General features: G+C 40.5%; 1 protein-coding gene across 3 annotated transcripts in view; it reads left to right on the plus strand.

Moving 5' to 3' along the window:
• ATP6V1A (ATPase H+ transporting V1 subunit A) overlaps positions 1–16,596 on the plus strand; it is a 65,022-nt gene that overhangs the window by 10,668 nt on the left and 37,758 nt on the right. Inside the window, exon 2 of one of the 3 annotated variants that reach the window (XM_047448306.1) lies at positions 10,775–10,862. The exons of 1 other annotated variant lie outside the window; for it this stretch is intronic. The gene's annotated coding sequence lies outside the window, so the exon portion shown is untranslated. Of the gene's footprint in view, positions 1–6,483; positions 6,923–10,774; positions 10,863–16,596 lie in introns of those variants that run through there. One more of the 3 variants, XM_047448305.1, reaches the window with a different exon arrangement.

A 16,596-nucleotide genomic window follows, 5' to 3' on the forward strand; every position in this document is an offset into this window, starting at 1 on the left:
ACACAGCCTTATCCAGAGCCACATATATTTATTCTAAATAGACAGACAAAAAACTGGTTTGGCTAAGTTTTCATCTGTTGCCCCTATGCTGTTTCTAGGGTTAAAATTCTCTTAACAAATTTGCATAGGTCAAATAGTCCTTTAGAAATACTATATTAGTTGGCTGGGCCTGGTGGCTCACGCCTGTAATCCCAGCACTTTGGGAGGCCAAGGTGGGTGGATCACGAGGTCAAGAGATTGAGACCATCCTGGCCAACATGGTGAAACCCCATCTCTACTGAAAATACAAAAATTAGCTGGGCGTGGTGGTGTGCACCTGTAGTCCCAGCTACTCAGGAGGCTGAGGGAGGAGAATCACTTGAACCTAGGAGGCAGAGGTTGCAGTGAGCTGAGATCACACCCACTGCACTCCAGCCTGGCGATAGAGTGAGACTCTGTCTCAAAAAAAGAAAAGAAAAGAAATACTCTATTAGTCAACAAATAAAAGCAAAAGTGAACATGTGTCCTGTGGAAGCATGCCTTTATAGGAGTCATGCTGGCAATAACTTGTGCTTTTTAAAAAATAATTTTATTGATATATAATTGACATATCTGCACATAAAGTATACAGTTGGATAAGTTTTAATATATGTATACACACATGAAGCCAGCACTGTAATCAATATAGTGAACATATCCATCACACCCAAGAGAAGTTTCTTTGTTCCTCTTTTTAATCCTGTCCTTCCATACCTCCCCACCTCCTGTCCTTAACCATCCACTGATCTATTTTCTATCATTATAGTTAGTTTGCATTACATGTATCGATGATTCATATTTTCCTTGCTGACTATTATTCCATTTTATGGATATACCATAGTTTGTTTATCCATTCACCCATTGCTGGATATTTGTGCTGTCTTTCCACTTTTTGGCCATTATGAATAAAGGTCCTATGAACATTCATGTAAGTCTTTGGACATAAGCTTTCTCATGGGGAAATACCAAGGAGTAGAATGGCTGAATCATATGGTAAGTGTAATTTTAACTTTCTAAGAAACTGCCAAACTGTTTTCCAAAGTGGTTGTACCATTTTACAGTTCTACTAGCAATATGTGAGTGTGTTAGTTGTTCTACATCCTTACCAACACTTCCTTTGTCAGTCTTTTAAACTTTTAGCCATTCTGATAGCTGTGGAATGGCATTTCATTGTGGTTTTAACTTGCATTTTCCTAGTGACTAATGAGCTTAAGCATCTTTTCATGTACTTTGCCATCTATCTTCCTTGGTTAAGTGAATGTTCAAATCTTTTGCCTGTTTTAATTGAGTTTTCCTATTATTGAGTTTTGATCTTTGTAGATTCTGGATATAAGTTCTTTGTCAGGTTTATGTCTGTAAATATTTTCTCCCAGTCTTTACCTTGTCTTTTTGTTCTAACAATGTTTTTTGATGAGCAGAGATTTGAAGTCCAGTTTACCATTTTATTCTTTTGTGGATTGTGCTTTTAGCGTTATGTCAAATCCAAGGTCACAAAGGAAGTTTTATAGTTTTAGGTTTTACATTTAGGTCTACCATCCATTTTTAGATTTTTCTATATAGTTACGGGTTTTTTTTTTTTTTTGCATTTTATGTATACGTTGGTTCTACCACCACTTGTTGAAAAGACAATATGCTTTCTACACTGAATTGCCTTTGCACTTTTGTCAAAAGCCAGTTGTCCATATATGTGTTGGAGTAGAGCCTTTTTGAGCTAATAAATTTTGTAAAATTTTAAATAATAATACTAGGCAGATTAATAGGGATTAAATTTTATCTGTTCATTATAGAATTATATGTGTTCTACCATTCACAAGATTGAACAAATTGACCATTAAAATTATTAATAAAATTATAACTTAATAAATTGAATCTAATTTAATATTTTCTTAATATTTAAGAATATTTAATCATAATTTTTGATCTTAGAAGGTCATTCTGTGATGGTAATATTTGGATTCAGCTTTGGCGTCAGTTGAATATTTTAAAAATCTTGGCCATCAAGCATTAGGCCAAAATGTGTATTCAGTGTACTTTGAAAGGGTTTTATCAGTTTTCACTCAACGATTAGAGTTTCTATTTCCCCCCACACCCTTGCCAGTACTGTCACTGAACAATATTTAGTAATTGCCTACTATGTGCCAAGGCATTTTACTGGATAATTGGGGTGTTCAATAAACAAAGCAGAGGCGGTCCCTGTTTTTCTAGCATTTATAGTCTGGAAGTGAAGACAGACATTGAACAGCTTCTTTCACATTTTTTAATCACAAGAGTAGTAAGTGCTATTAAGAAGCAATATTAGAGACCTTGAGCACATACCAGAGGAGCAGGCAGTTAATTTCTTAGTAAATCATACTATTGAAAACTTCTCCTCTCCCCACAACTAGTTTAGTTAAATAAACCCTGGTTGTTAATCATAGTATACTAGGTAAACTGTTAGAAACACAGATTTCTTGTCCTCTGAATTGAAAATGTCTGGACTTTTGACTATAGTCATTATTTAAATCCAGATTGTGAGGTGTTTTTTCACCTATCTTAGGCAGCATTCTTTTCTTCTTTTATCCTTTGTGCTTTAGGATATATTTTTATTGCAGAGATTTTATGAATTCCTGAATTAAATGTGAACCTATTTATGTAACACTCTCTTCTAAACATTGGGTTAATATACCTGAGCACAGTTTATGAACCTTTGTCCTCTTCTATTCCATCCATTAAATAAACGAGAGGATGGCTGGGCATGGTGGCTTACGCCTGTAATCCCAGCACTTTGGGAGGCCGAGGTGGGCGGATCACAAAATCAAGAGATCGAGACCATCCTGGCCAACATGGTGAAACCCTGTCTCTACTAAAAATACAAAAAATTAGCTGGGCGTGGTGGCGGGTGCCTGTAGTCCCAGCTACTCAGGAGGCTGAGGCAGGAGAATGGCATAAACCCGGGAGTTTGGAGCTTGCAGTGAGCCGAGATCGCACCATTGCACTCCAGCCTGGGCAACAATAAGACTCCATCTCAAAAAAATAAAAAATAAAACTAAACAAATGACAGGATGGATTCGTTTAAATATAGACATCGGCCAGGTACAGTGGCTCACCCCTGTAATCCCAGCACTTTGGGAGGCCAAGGCAGGCAGATCACAAGATCAAGAGATCGAGACCATCCTGGCCAATATGGTGAAACTCTGTCTCTACTAAACAAACAAAAATTAGCTGGGCATGGTGGCACACACCTGCGGTCTCAGCTATTCGGGAGGCGGAGGCAGTAGAATTGCTTGAATCCGGGAGGGGGAGGTTGCAGTGAGCCTAAATCGCGCCACTGCACTCCAGCCTGCCCATAGAGCGAGACTCTGTCTCAAAGAAAAAAAAAATAGACATATTTTCTTTTCTTTTCTTTTTTTTTTTCTTTTTTTTTGAGACAGGGTCTCACTGTGTTGTCCAAGCTGGTCTTGAACTCCTGGACTCAAGCGTGATCCTCCCACCTCAGCTTCCCAAGTAGCTGAGAATACAGGCATGAGCCACCGTACCTAGACAGCATCATTTTATAAGTGTAATAGCATTTTTAGTACAACACTGTTGATGCTGTCTCTTTTTTGTTCCTTGTATGTGTGTCAGTCTCAAATGCCTACATTTCTTACATTTGGCTAGTTTAGCTGCTCATGATTTTTTTTTTTTTGGCAAAGCCATCAAAATTTGCTCAGTAACGAGAGTAATATGGTAATTGTAAAGTTTTAAAAATAAGTTTCGGCTGGGCTTGGTGGCTCGCACGTGTTATCCCAGCGCTTTGGGAGGCCGAGGTGGGTAGATCACCTGAGGTCGGGAGTTCAAGACCAGCCTGACCAACATGTAGAAATCCCGACTCTACTAAAAATACATAATTAGCCGGGCATGGAGGCACATGCCTGTAATCGCAGCTACTCTGGAGGCCGAAGCAGGAGAATTGCTTGAACCCGGGAGGCAGAGATTGTGGTGAGCCAAGATCGCGCCATTGCACTGCAGCCTGGGCAACAAGAGCAAAACTCTGTCTCAAAAAAAAAAAAGTTTCTAAGTATTTTAAGCAATTGCCTTTTTAAAGTAGTCATACAGTTTCTAGTTTGACTTCTTTTGAAGGTGATAATTTTCCTGCATGATTGCCTGAATTTTGAAAAAAATTGGTAAAGTTGGCTGGGCACAGCAGCTCACGCCTGTAATCCCAGCACTTTGGGAGGCCAAAGCGGGCGGATCACCTGAGGTCAGGAGTTCGAGACCAGCCTGACCAACATGTAGAAACCCCAACTCTACTAAAAATACATAATTAGCTGGGCATGGAGGCACATGCCTGTAATCGCAGCTACTCTGGAGGCTGAAGCAGGAGAATTGCTTGAACCCGGGAGGCAGAGGTTGTGGTGAGCCAAGATCGCGCCATTGCACTGCAGCCTGGGCAACAAGAGCAAAACTCTGTCTCAAAAAAAAAAAAGTTTCTAAGTATTTTAAGCAATTGCCTTTTTAAAGTAGTCATACAGTTTCTAGTTTGACTTCTTTTGAAGGTGATAATTTTCCTGCATGATTGCCTGAATTTTGAAAAAAATTGGTAAAGTTGGCTGGGCACAGCAGCTCACGCCTGTAATCCCAGCACTTTGGGAGGCCAAAGCGGGCGGATCACCTGAGGTCAGGAGTTCGAGACAAGCCTGGCCAACTTGGAGAAACCCTGTCTCCACTAAAAATACAAAATTAGCTGGGCGTGGTGGCGCATACCTGTAATCCCAGCTACTCGGGAGGCTGAGGCAAGAGAATCACATGAACCCAGGACGTGGAGGTTGCAGTGAGCCGAGATTGCGCCATTGCAGTCGATCCTAGGCAACAAGAGCAAAACTCCATCTCAAAAAAAAAAATGGTAAAGTCATTTCATAGGCAGTTTATCTGACAAAAGCCTATCCAAAAGCCAGTCATTGCAGTGCTAATACACCATGAAGGTTCAGGATTCAGGAAGAGAGTTTGCTGATGACAGTCCTTGGCACTACGAACTTGGAATTGTAGACTATTTAACATAAGAAATTTCATTATTATTATTAAGTACATTTTGTGGGGGGGGAATACTGTAGGATTTCAGATAAATTAATACTACATTATGTTGTCATTATTGGATTTTAAAGGTTTTTCTAATATTGCAGTATAACAATAAACACGTATATAAATAAGTCCTTATCCACATGCCAAATATATTCTCAGAAATACAGTTTTTGAGTCAAAAGGCTTGAACATCTTTAAGGGCGTGGTTGCATATTACCAATTTTTTCCCCATGTTTCCTAGAAAATAATAAACCCAAATTGACCTTTTCTTGATGGTTATGGGTCATTCTTATTACCATTAGTCAATTAACATCTCTTTCCTTTTTACCTTCCATTTATTCTTTTTTTTTTGAGGCAGAGTCTCGCTCTGTCACCTAGGCTGTGGAGTGCAGTGGCGCAATCTCGGCTCACTGCAGCCTCCGCTTCCTGGGTTCACCATTCTGCCTCAGCCTCCTGAGTAGCTGGGACTACAGGCACCTGCCATCACGCCCAGCTAATTTTTTGTATTTTTAGTAGAGACGGGGTTTCACTGTGTTAGCCAGGATGGTCTCGATCTCCTGACCTCGTGATCCGCCCACCTTGGCCTCCCAAAGTGCTGGGATTACAGGCATGAGCCGCCACACCCAGTCCTTCCATGTATTCTTATAGAGTAGCTCTCTAATGATTTGCTGCTTTAAATCTGCAGTGATCCAAAGTATTAGGTAATAATTTTTAATTGTGCATAAATTGAGTCCTAAGACTGTATGCAGGTCTTTTGCCATGTGCAGAAGCTTTAAGACTGTCATTCTACGAGTTCAGAGATCTTTTGTTTTCCTGTTTCTTAGGTCTTCACTTTATTTCTATTGAGGTTGGCAAGTCTCACTTCTCGTGTATATAAATATTGTACTGTATTTAGTTCTAATACCATATTTTGTTGTTTCTAGGACATTTTTCTCCCATATTTTTAACAGCTCTGAAATTAGTGCCTGTCCTGCAATTTCTGGAATGCCATAATTTGTCAGGTTTTTTTCCTTAGTAGTACATCAAATAAAGGAGTTTATTAAAATTGATATTATCTTAGATTAGGTGAAATATGGTGTTAACTTCTAGATAGGGATCTGTGTGTTTGTAAGAATTGCTGTTGTGAGACATCAGCATGAATTCTTAGGTGGTTGTCTTACCTTGACTTTACCTAGTCAGTAAGTTAAATTGAATTAAAGTGGCAGGGTGCAGTGGCTTACACCTGTAATCCCAGCACTTTGGGAGGCCGAAGCGGGAGGATCACTTGAGCCCAGGAGTTCAAGAGCAGCCTGGGTAACAGAATGAGACTTTGTCTTTACATAAAAATCAAAAAGCTGGGCATGGTGGTACATGCCTGTGGTCCCAGTAAGGGAGGCTAAGGCAGGAGATTGCTTTAGCCCAAGAGATTGAGGCTGCAGTGAGCCTTGATCGCACCACTGTACTCCAGCCTGGGTGACAGAGCAAGACCTTGTCTCAAAAAAAAAAGAAAAAAAAGTATATTAGCAAAATGTTAATAACAGTCCCAAATAGGAAGCAGTCTTGGTACGCAGTAGAGAGAGTTATTGTTGTTAGGTAAAGTATGGTATCTATTTAATGGAATAGTATACAGTTTAAGATGACACAAAGACTGTGTAGCGCATAGAAAAATTGAAGTAAAATAATTTTATGCTAGTATTGATTACAATTATGTAAAAAAAATTAATTGGGAAATAATGTCAATCATATTCAAATGGTGAGATCTTTCATTAGGTATTTTTAAAATTATAAGCATATTGCTTCTGAAAACAGATTTTAAAGAAAGATGTGTAACAAATGCTTTCTTTTCTATTTATATTGTTGGCTGTCTTCTTGGCTGTTTGCATCATAGGTAAGTTAAGCTTTAAATCAATAGGATCTTCTTTGATGTCTTGTTTTTTCTTTGTAACCTGAAATCAGGAAAATTTCCTAAAAATTCAAATGTGGGATATTAATGTGAGCTTTACAATTACTTTTCCCCCTTCAGTTTATCAAGTTTAAGAAATAAAAAAAATAAGGCCCGGCACAGTGGCTCATGCCTGTAATCCCAGCACTGTAATCATGCCTGTAATCCTAGCTCATGCCTGTAATCCCAGCACTGAGGTGGGGGGATCACTTGAGCCCTGGAGGTGGAGGTTACAGTGAGCTGAGGTTGCAGTGAGCCGAGATTGCATCACTGTACTCCAGCATAGGTGATAAAGCCAGACCCAGACCCTGTCTTAATTGAAAAAAAAAAAAAAAAAGCAGGAATTTCTTACCCAAATTCTGTTTCAGGTAGCTTTGTTGTTCTGAACTTAAAATAATTGACCAGAAATTTTCCACTTCTGTTCTCTATTTTTAATAGTAGCAAAGTTGTATCGAGTCTGTGGGCATTAATATTCTGATTATCCTCAAATATGCCCATTTTCCTCTTAGATATGTCCATTTACTTTGTAGTCACATTGATGTTTTATCTTTTTTTTGGCTAATATAGTTAGTTGGTTATGTTTGTGTTATAAAGCTAGGTATTAGTAAAATACAATGTTATGTTTTTTAAAAATCTTAGTTCTGTAAGAGATGGGGCCAGGCGTAGTGGCTCATCCAGCACTTTGGGAGGCCGACGCGGGCAGTTCACCTGAGGTCAGGAGTTCAAGACCAGCCTGACCAATGTGGTGAAACCCCATCTCTACTAAAAATACAAAATTAGCCAGGTGTGGTGGCGCATGTCTGTAATCCCAGCTACTTGGGAGGCTGAGGCAGGAAGAGTAGCTTAAATCCGGGAGGTGGAGGTTGCAGTGAACTGAGATGGTGCCATTGCACTCCAGCCTGGGCAACAAGAGCAAAACTCCATCTCAAAAAACAAAAAAGAGAGAGAGAGATGAGTGGCCGGGCGCGGTGGCTCGGCCTGTTATCCCAGCACTTTGGGAGGCCGAGGTGGGCAGATCACTTGAGATCAGGAGTTCAAGACCAGCTTGGCCAACATTGTGAAATCCCATCTGTACTAAAAATACAAAAAAAAAAAAAAGGTAGACAGGTGTGGTAGCACGTACCTGTAATCCCAGCTACTCGGGAGGCTGAGACAGGAGAATCGCATGAACCCAGGAGGCGGAGGTTGCAGTGAGCCGAGATCGCACCACTGCACTCCAGCCTGGGTGATAGAGCAAGACTCCATCTCAAAAAAAAAGGAGATGGGTAATTTAGGAACAATCAATTCTTGTTTTACTAATTACTCCTTAGTTTGTATTCACAAAATGTCCCATTATGTCACCTTTTTTTCATCTTCTCCCTTGTGCTTGCGTTTTTACATAGGGTCAGTAAATAATACAAAAAAGTCTTAGTTTGGTTGCTGTAACAAATTGCCATAGACTATGTGACTTAAACAGCAACATTTCTCATAGTCTGGAGTGTGGGAAGTCCGAGGTCAAGGTGCCTATAGATCCTGTGTCTGGTCAGGGCCTGCTTCCTTCTGGTTTGTAGATGGACATCTTCTTGTATCCTCACATGGTAGAGAGCAGAGATCATCTCTCTCTCTTTCTCTCTCTCTTTCTTTTTTTCGCTTCCCTTGAGACAGTCTCGCTCTGTCACCCAGGCTGGAGTGCAGCAGTGCGACCATGGCTCAGTGCAGCCTCAACCTCCCAGGCTCAAGCAGTCCTCCACTTCAACCTCCTAAGTAGCTGGGACTATGGGTGCACACCACCACGCCCAGCTAATTTTTTAATTTTTTGTAGGGACAAGGTCTCACTATGTTACCTATTCTGTTCTTGAACACCTGGACTCATGCAATCCTTCTGCCTTAGCCTCCCAAAGTGCTGAGATTACAGGCATGAGCCACTGCATCCAGCTCAGAGATCATCTCTAGAGGGGCACTAATCCCATTCATGAGGGCTCCACCTTCAGGACCTAATTATGTACCAAAGGCCTCACTTCCTAATACCATCACATTGAGGGTTGGAATTAAAATGTGAATTTTGGGGGGACACATTTAGTCCATGACACATGGCTTTCTTTTCTAAAAATGGTATAGTTGGTGCAAAAGTAATTGCAGTTTTTGCCATTGCTTTCGATGGCAAAACAGCAATTACTTTTGCAGCAGCCTAATAGCTAAAGGTGAAAACTACTGTCGAAGTAAGGTGTTTTGAATTATTTATTACATACCTAGGTGTTGTGACCAGACCAAATCTGGGCATCATCACTCTTTAGTTCTGTCCCCTATTTCTTAATCAAATAATACCTATTTCATAGGACTAGTGTTAAGAATTAAAGAGATGTTTGCTTTTTTTAACATAATGCCTGGAGTGTGATATGTACTTAACAAATAGTAGTTGATGTTATGTCTTTTTTTTTTTTTTTTTTTTTTTGAGACAGAGTCTTGCTCTGGCGCCCAGACTAGAGTGCAGTGGCGTGATCTTGGCGCATTGCAACCTTAGCTTCCTGGGTTCAAGCAATTCTCCTGCCTCAGCGCCCCGAGTAGCTGGGATTACAGGCACACGCCGCCATGCCCGGCTAATTTTGGTATTTTTAGTAGAGACCAGGTTTTGTCATGTTGGCCAAGCTGGTCTCCAACTCCTGACCTCATCCACCTGCCTCAGCCTCTCAAAGTGCTCAGATTACAGGTGTAAGCCACTGCGCCCAGCCTGATGTTATCTGTTTTTAATTTCAGAACATTTTACTGAGTTACTGCTGTATAAGACACTATGCCATATGGAAGGGAGGAAGTAGGAAAATGATATAATACGCACTTTGAGGGCAGGGATACTTGAATCCGTACATCAGTTTTACCATTGACCATAGGCTTCTAGCGTATACATTGATATTGTGGAACTTGTACACTCAATACAGTATTTTGTTACTGTTTCACCCAATATTGCACAATTTTATTTGTAAAAATTTGAAGGGAAAGGAATCTACTTTTTTTTTTTAGTTGGAGTCTTGCTCTGTCGCCCAGGCTGGAGTGCAGTGGCTCAATCTCAGCTCGCTGCAACCTCCGCCTCCTGGGTTCAAGCAATTCTCTGCCTCAGCTTCCCTAGTAGCTGGGATTATAGGCACCTGCCACCATGCCCAGCTAATGTTTTTGTATTTTTAGTAGAGAGAGGGTTTCACCATCTTGGCCAGGCAAGTCTTGAACTCCTGATCTCGTGACCCACTGGCCTTGGCTTCCCAAAGTGCTGGGATGTGAGCCACCGTGCCTGGCTGGAAAGTAATCCATTTCTAAAAGTGACATAAAAATCATTTCTGGACAAGCTTGTTGATGAACTGTAAGTGTGTTTAGCTGACACAATTTAAATTCCATTCCCAGTTTAAGTGTCCACCCTAGCGTTTTATCTTCACTATTTCTTTTTCAGGAATGCCTTAGTTTTGATATACAGTTAAAATAGAAGAGTGTGTGTGTGTCCTCAGATAATTTTATTCCAATAAGAATAAGTTTTTCCTGATTGTTAGTCCAGTTTGCCATCTGTGACTTTGCTGTTCTCTGCTCTTTGATTCCTGCTTTTGTCTACACATTTCATTGTAGTCCACCTTAGTAATTCTTATGGATTACTTCATTGATGACCTTATGTATATTCTTAACCTTTTGGTTTATTTTTTTAAAAAGCACTATGAAATATGTACAATATAAAAATATTTATTTTTCAAAGTCCTTTCTTGTTGTGTTGGTTAATTGAGTGTGCCAATAAAGGCAACAAGGACTCAGATGTCTTTTGTCTTTCTATTTTGTCATCCTTAGCAAGGTGGGCTGCCTGCTTAGCTCCCTCAAGGTCCTAATATGGCTGCCGCAGTTCCAGATGTCCCAGGCAGATGACCAAATCCCAAAGGAGAGTATTGTTTCTCATAGCCTGTATCTTTTTTTTTTTTTTTTTTTTTGAGATGGAGTCTCACTCTGTTGCCCAGGCTGGAGTGCAGTGGCGCAATCTCGGCTCAGTGCAACCTCTGCCTTCCACGTTCAAGTGATTCTCCTGCCTCAGCCTCCCAAGTAGCTGGAACTACAGACGCACGTCACCATGCCTGGCTAATTTTTGTATTTTTAGTAGAGATGGGATTTCGCCACGTTGGCCAGGCTGGTCTCAAACTCCTGACCTCATGTGATCCACCCACCTTGGCCTCCCAAAGTGCTGGGATTACAGCCACCGTGCCCAGCTGCCTGCATCTTTTAAAAGAACAAAGAAATTATTTCCAGAAGGTCTCCAACAGATTTTGCCTTAATTCTTATGGTTAGAACATCATTTATTATGTGCTTATTTCCAAAGCAGTCGAGGGAACTGGAATTACAATAATAGGCTTAACAAATTTTGAACAAAGTTGGCTTTTGGTTGGCAAGGAAAAATCAGGAAACTAAATATACATAGTGAAATAAATCTGCCACATAAGCCATTCTAATAGGATTGCTAGGTAGGTGGATTGAAGGAGATGAATAGAGAGTGTCACAAAATGACTAGCACTATACTCTAAAAGTATGATCAGGTAATGTTATTTGTTGGAATTCCACCTGTTCTATAACTTTCTGACCAAACATAAAAATATTAAACAGATTTAAGATACCTTTCTCTAAAAAGATTAACAGTGTGTGAAAATAAGTAATTGGTTATAATCCATTAGATTCTTCTGAATCTTTTTTAAAAAAAATCTGTGATTTCCAGAGATAGTCTTTAATCAATTAGATAGAATGTATTTTTTCATTACACTCTAATGTAACAAGTGTTACATCAAAATAATGCTTCATTATCAATGAAGTGCCCCAGGATTTTGTATGTGAGTAAATATTACCTTGGAATCTTAGTGTTTAACTTTTATATATCACCTCCCCTTTGCCCCCAACAGCCATATCATCCAAGACTTTGGTAATAAAAAGAATAATTTCTGAAATAATGAAATTACCAGTTGCATTAACCAGCAGCAATTTGGAGTGGACTTTATAGGAAAAAAATTTTTTCCTCTGGTGTTATTTGCCACTGCAGTGTTCTGCAGTGCCTGTTGGGGAGAGGCTGATGACTCATTAACTCAGATCAGTTGCCTATGCTGCCTTTCTGGATTTTTCCTCTTCTACCACAGGGTTTTGGTTTTTGTTTAAATCTTTCACAAATTGGGTAGGGAGGGGCACTGCTATAATTTGTAACCAAAGAATCTTAGTTGTAAGTTGCATTTACTTTTTATCCTTAAACACAGTTGAAGTCAAAACAGCTAAAGGCAACATTTTTATATAATCATTGATTTGATTTTTCTATGAGTGCATCTGTGTATACCACACTGCTTTCATCAAAGTATGTAATAAGTATTCCTGCTTTTATTTATTTATTTATTTATTTATTTATTTATTTATTTTTGAGACTCTCACTCTGTCACCCAGGCTGGAGTGCAGTGGAGCAATCTCCAGTCACTGAAACCTCCACCTCCCGGGTTCAAGCATTTCTCCTCCTCCAGCCTCCCAAGTAGCTGGGACTACAGTTTTGCATCACCACACCTGGCTAATTTTTGTATTTTTTGGTAGAGGCAGGGTTTCACCATGTTGGCCAGGCTGGTCTTGAACTCCTGACCACAAGTAACCTACCTGCCTCGGCCTCCCAAAGTTCTGGGATTACAGGCATGAATTATCGAGACTGGCCTCATGCTTTTATTTTTTAAATGTTGGAGAACAACAATAGCTGTATAGGCCGGGCACGGTGGCTTATGCCTGTAATCCCAGCACTTTGGGAGGCCAAGGCGGGTGGATCTCCTGAGGTCAGCAGTTCCAGACTAGCCTGGTCAACTTGGCGAAATCCCGTCTCTACTAAAAATGCAAAAAATTAGCCAGGCATGGTGGCTCGTGCCTATAGTCCCAGCTACTTGGGAGGCTGAGACACAAGAATCGCTTGAACCCGGAAGGTGGACATTGCAGTGAGCCAACATCGTGCCACCGCACTCCAGCCTGGGTAGCAGACTGAGACTCTGTCTTAAAAAAAAAGAAAATCAATAGCTGTATATTGTCTTAAGAAGGAGTTATTAAATAGCCTGTAAAGCTATTTTATGTAGCATTAAATCATATCATAGTTTGGACCTTATAGAGATTTGGGATAAAATTAACTTTCAGGCCAGGCGTGATAGCTCATGCCTGTTATCCCAGTACTTTGGGAGGCCGAGGCGGGCAGATCACAAGGTCAGGAGTTCAAGACCAGCCTGGCCAATAAGGTGAAACCCCGTCTCTACTAAAAATACAAAAAAATTAGCTGGGTGTGGGGGCGCATGCCTGTAATTCCAGCTACTCGGGAGGCTGAGGCAGGAGAATTGCTTGAACCTGGGAGACGGAGATTGCTGCGAACCGAGATCATGCCACTGCACTCCAGCCTGGGCAACAGAGGGAGACTCCATCAAAAAAAAAAAAAAATTAACTTTGAATATAATCTAACTTGCAGTATAATTTGCTTATTGAAAGTTGGTGTTCTAGGAGTTTGTTTTAACATTTTTAAAAGCCTATTTTTCACTGAGAGGCGTAAGCATTCAATGATGAAGCAGAAGATTTTAATGGGATATTTTTAACTATTCACAGATAATAAAGAAGAGTTATAAACAAATTAGTATGTTGTATGACCATGCTTACCAAAATGCTATATGTTTAGCCCTATTCAGTCATCAGGTCACCATAGTATGTCTACCTGATGAGTAATTTTTATTTCACTGTGGGGAAAAAACACTTGCATATTTTTCTCTTTTTTTTTTTTTTTTTTTTTTTTTTGAGACGGAGTCTCGCTCTGTCGCCCAGGCTGGTGTGCAGTGACGTGATCACCGCTTGCTGCAAGCTCCGCCTCCCGGGTTCAGGCCATTCTCCTGCCTCAGCCTCCTGAATAGCTGGGACTACAGGTGCCTGCCACCACACCCGGCTAATTTTTTGTATTTTCAGTAGACACGGGGTTTCATCATGTTAGCCAGGATGGTCTCGATCTCCTGACCTCATGATCCGCCTGCCTCGGCTTCCCAAAGTGCTGGGATTACAGGCATGACCCACCGCGCCCGGCCTCTTTTTTTCTTTAGTTTTTTCAGTTTCTTATTTTTATGGATACATAAGTGTATATATTTATAAGGTACATATTTTTCTTATAAAATTTATTGTATGAGATGAAGTAGAGTATAAAACTTGTTTGGATTTCAGAGAATATACAAGAGCATGCCAAGAAATTTCCTTGCTTACGGTAGAGTGCTATAGCATCCTGTTTCTGGTCACATTCTGGGATGGGGTAGATAGAGGAGTGGTTATTCACTTCGATGTTTACCTGGATCAATACATTTGAAAGGAAGTGGGTGGAAGCAGAGTTGGGCAGAGGAAGAAGTTGAAATGCAGTGCAAGTCCCTCAGAGCCTCAGTTACCTAGTGGGAGAGATCTGGAGTGATTGTTGCTTGTGAGAGTATCCTGCATCAGGCTGAGATGGCTGGGCCTTTGTACCTCCATTGTGTCCATTCAGCAGGTGCACACTGCCCTGCAAGTGGTGTGAATGCAGGCAAGGCAGCACTCTGCATCTGAGGCTGACCTTGAAGGGTTGACAGCTGTTAGTTATTCAGTAATCACTATGGGAGTGCTTTTGGACTGGGGATATTTGAGCAGAGACATGAATGATGTGAAGAAATGAATCCTGGAGAAAAGAACATTCTAGGGAGGAGCACAGGAAATATAAAAGATCCATGTTGCTGTAGCAGATTAAAATGTAAATATTTTAAAATATCAAAATGGGGCTGGGCACCATGGCTCACGCCTGTAATCCCAGCACTTTGGGAGGCCAAGGCAGGCGGATCATGAGGTCAGGAGATCGAGACCATCCTGGCTAACACAGTGAAATCCCGTCTCTACTAAAAATACAAAAAAATTAGCCGGGCGTGGTGGCAGGCACCTATAGTACCAGCTACTCGGGAGGCTGAGGCTGGAGAATGGCGTGAACCTGGGAGGCGGAGCTTGCAGTGAGCCAAGATTGCACCACTGCACTCCAGCCTGGGCGACAGAGCAAGACTCCATCTCAAAAAAAAAAAAAAACCAAATGGACAAAAATGCTTGGAAGTTTACACTTTAAAACTCGTGTTTTCATAATTATTATGAAAGATGTGGTAAGAGCAGATTTCAGGATGTATTTACAACCACCTCTCTGTATAAACACTATGGAGTAGAGAAGATTAAATTACTCAGAATCAGAATCATCATCATTTTTTTCTCCACTTAATATTGGCTTTTTTTTTTTTTTTTTTTTTTGAGATGGAGTCTCACTCTGTCACCCAGGCTAGAGTGCAGTGGTGCGATCTCGGTTCACTGCAGTCTCTGCCTCCTGGGTTCAAGCACTTCTCCTGCCTCAGCCTCCTGAGTAGTTGGGATTACAGGTGCGCGACACCACGCCCGGCTAATTTTTTTGTATTTTTAGTAGAGGCGGGGTTTCACCATGTTGGTCAGGCTGGTCTCAAACTCCTGACCTCGTGATCCACCCGCCTTGGCCCCCCAAAGTGCTGGGATTACAGGTGTGAGCCACCGTGCCTGGCCAATATTGGCTTTTTAAAAAGGACAGTCATCTTGGTTTGCTAATACAAGAATATTCACCAAATTAATGCAAATTTATGGATCTAGTGACAATTATCTTTAAGTAAATTTGTAGACTTATCACTAGGACTCTAGGTTCTCTTATTAGTATGATGTCACTTCCTAAAGTGTGCCGTCTTTGGCATAAATTAAATAATATGTGCCTAAAAATTAGAGTTAAAAACTATAGAATCATTAAAATTTTCATGCTGGCTAGGATTTTCCAGCTGACTGCTAAACCCACAAGACTGCTGGATCATGAACAAACCCATTTGGTTTCCGCTAATCATTGCTCATACATTTGGAGGCATGCACTGTTTAAGTCTTAAAGGGAAAGTATGTAAATAAATACTTGTTTTAAAAAATCAGAACAGACATCATTATTCCCTCATAAACTTTAGAATACCGTCCTGAACCACAGGTTTCAACCATCTGTAGGGAAGCTTTACTAGATACTCTGATGCCTCTTTGTTCATCCCTCCAAGTCTCAGCTTAACCTCCTATTAAGTGACTTTCATCCTGCCCAACTCTAGGTTAGATGCCATTGCTTTATGCTCTTCTAAATCTCCAGCCTATAGTACTTCTAAGAGAGCACATATGTCACCTTATAAGAACTACCTGTTTGTCTTTTCATTCCACTATGCCAGAAGATCCTTGGGGGAAAGATTGTGTCTTACTTCATTATATTTTCCATCTATAATACAGCAGCTGGCACATCATCAATGCTTAAAAAAAATACAGTTGGTCTTAGAAAATAAAGTTATGATAAAATGCACCTGATAACTAGGAAAAAAAAAAAACTAGCTAAGCAACTAGATTTGGTTCAAGATAAGAACTATCTACCCCATCCCAGATTGTGAACAAGAAACAGGATGCTATAGCAGTCTACCGTAAACAGGGAAATTTCTTGGTATGCTCTTGTATATTCTCTGAACTCCAAAAAAACTAGCTAAGAGACTAGATTTGGTTCAAGATAAGAACAACTAGATTTGGTAGCGAGGTAAGAATCACTGGACACTTTAGAA

The sequence above is a fragment of the Homo sapiens genome, chromosome 3 (assembly GCF_000001405.40).
Source record: "Homo sapiens chromosome 3, GRCh38.p14 Primary Assembly".
Classification (NCBI taxonomy): domain Eukaryota; kingdom Metazoa; phylum Chordata; class Mammalia; order Primates; family Hominidae; genus Homo; species Homo sapiens.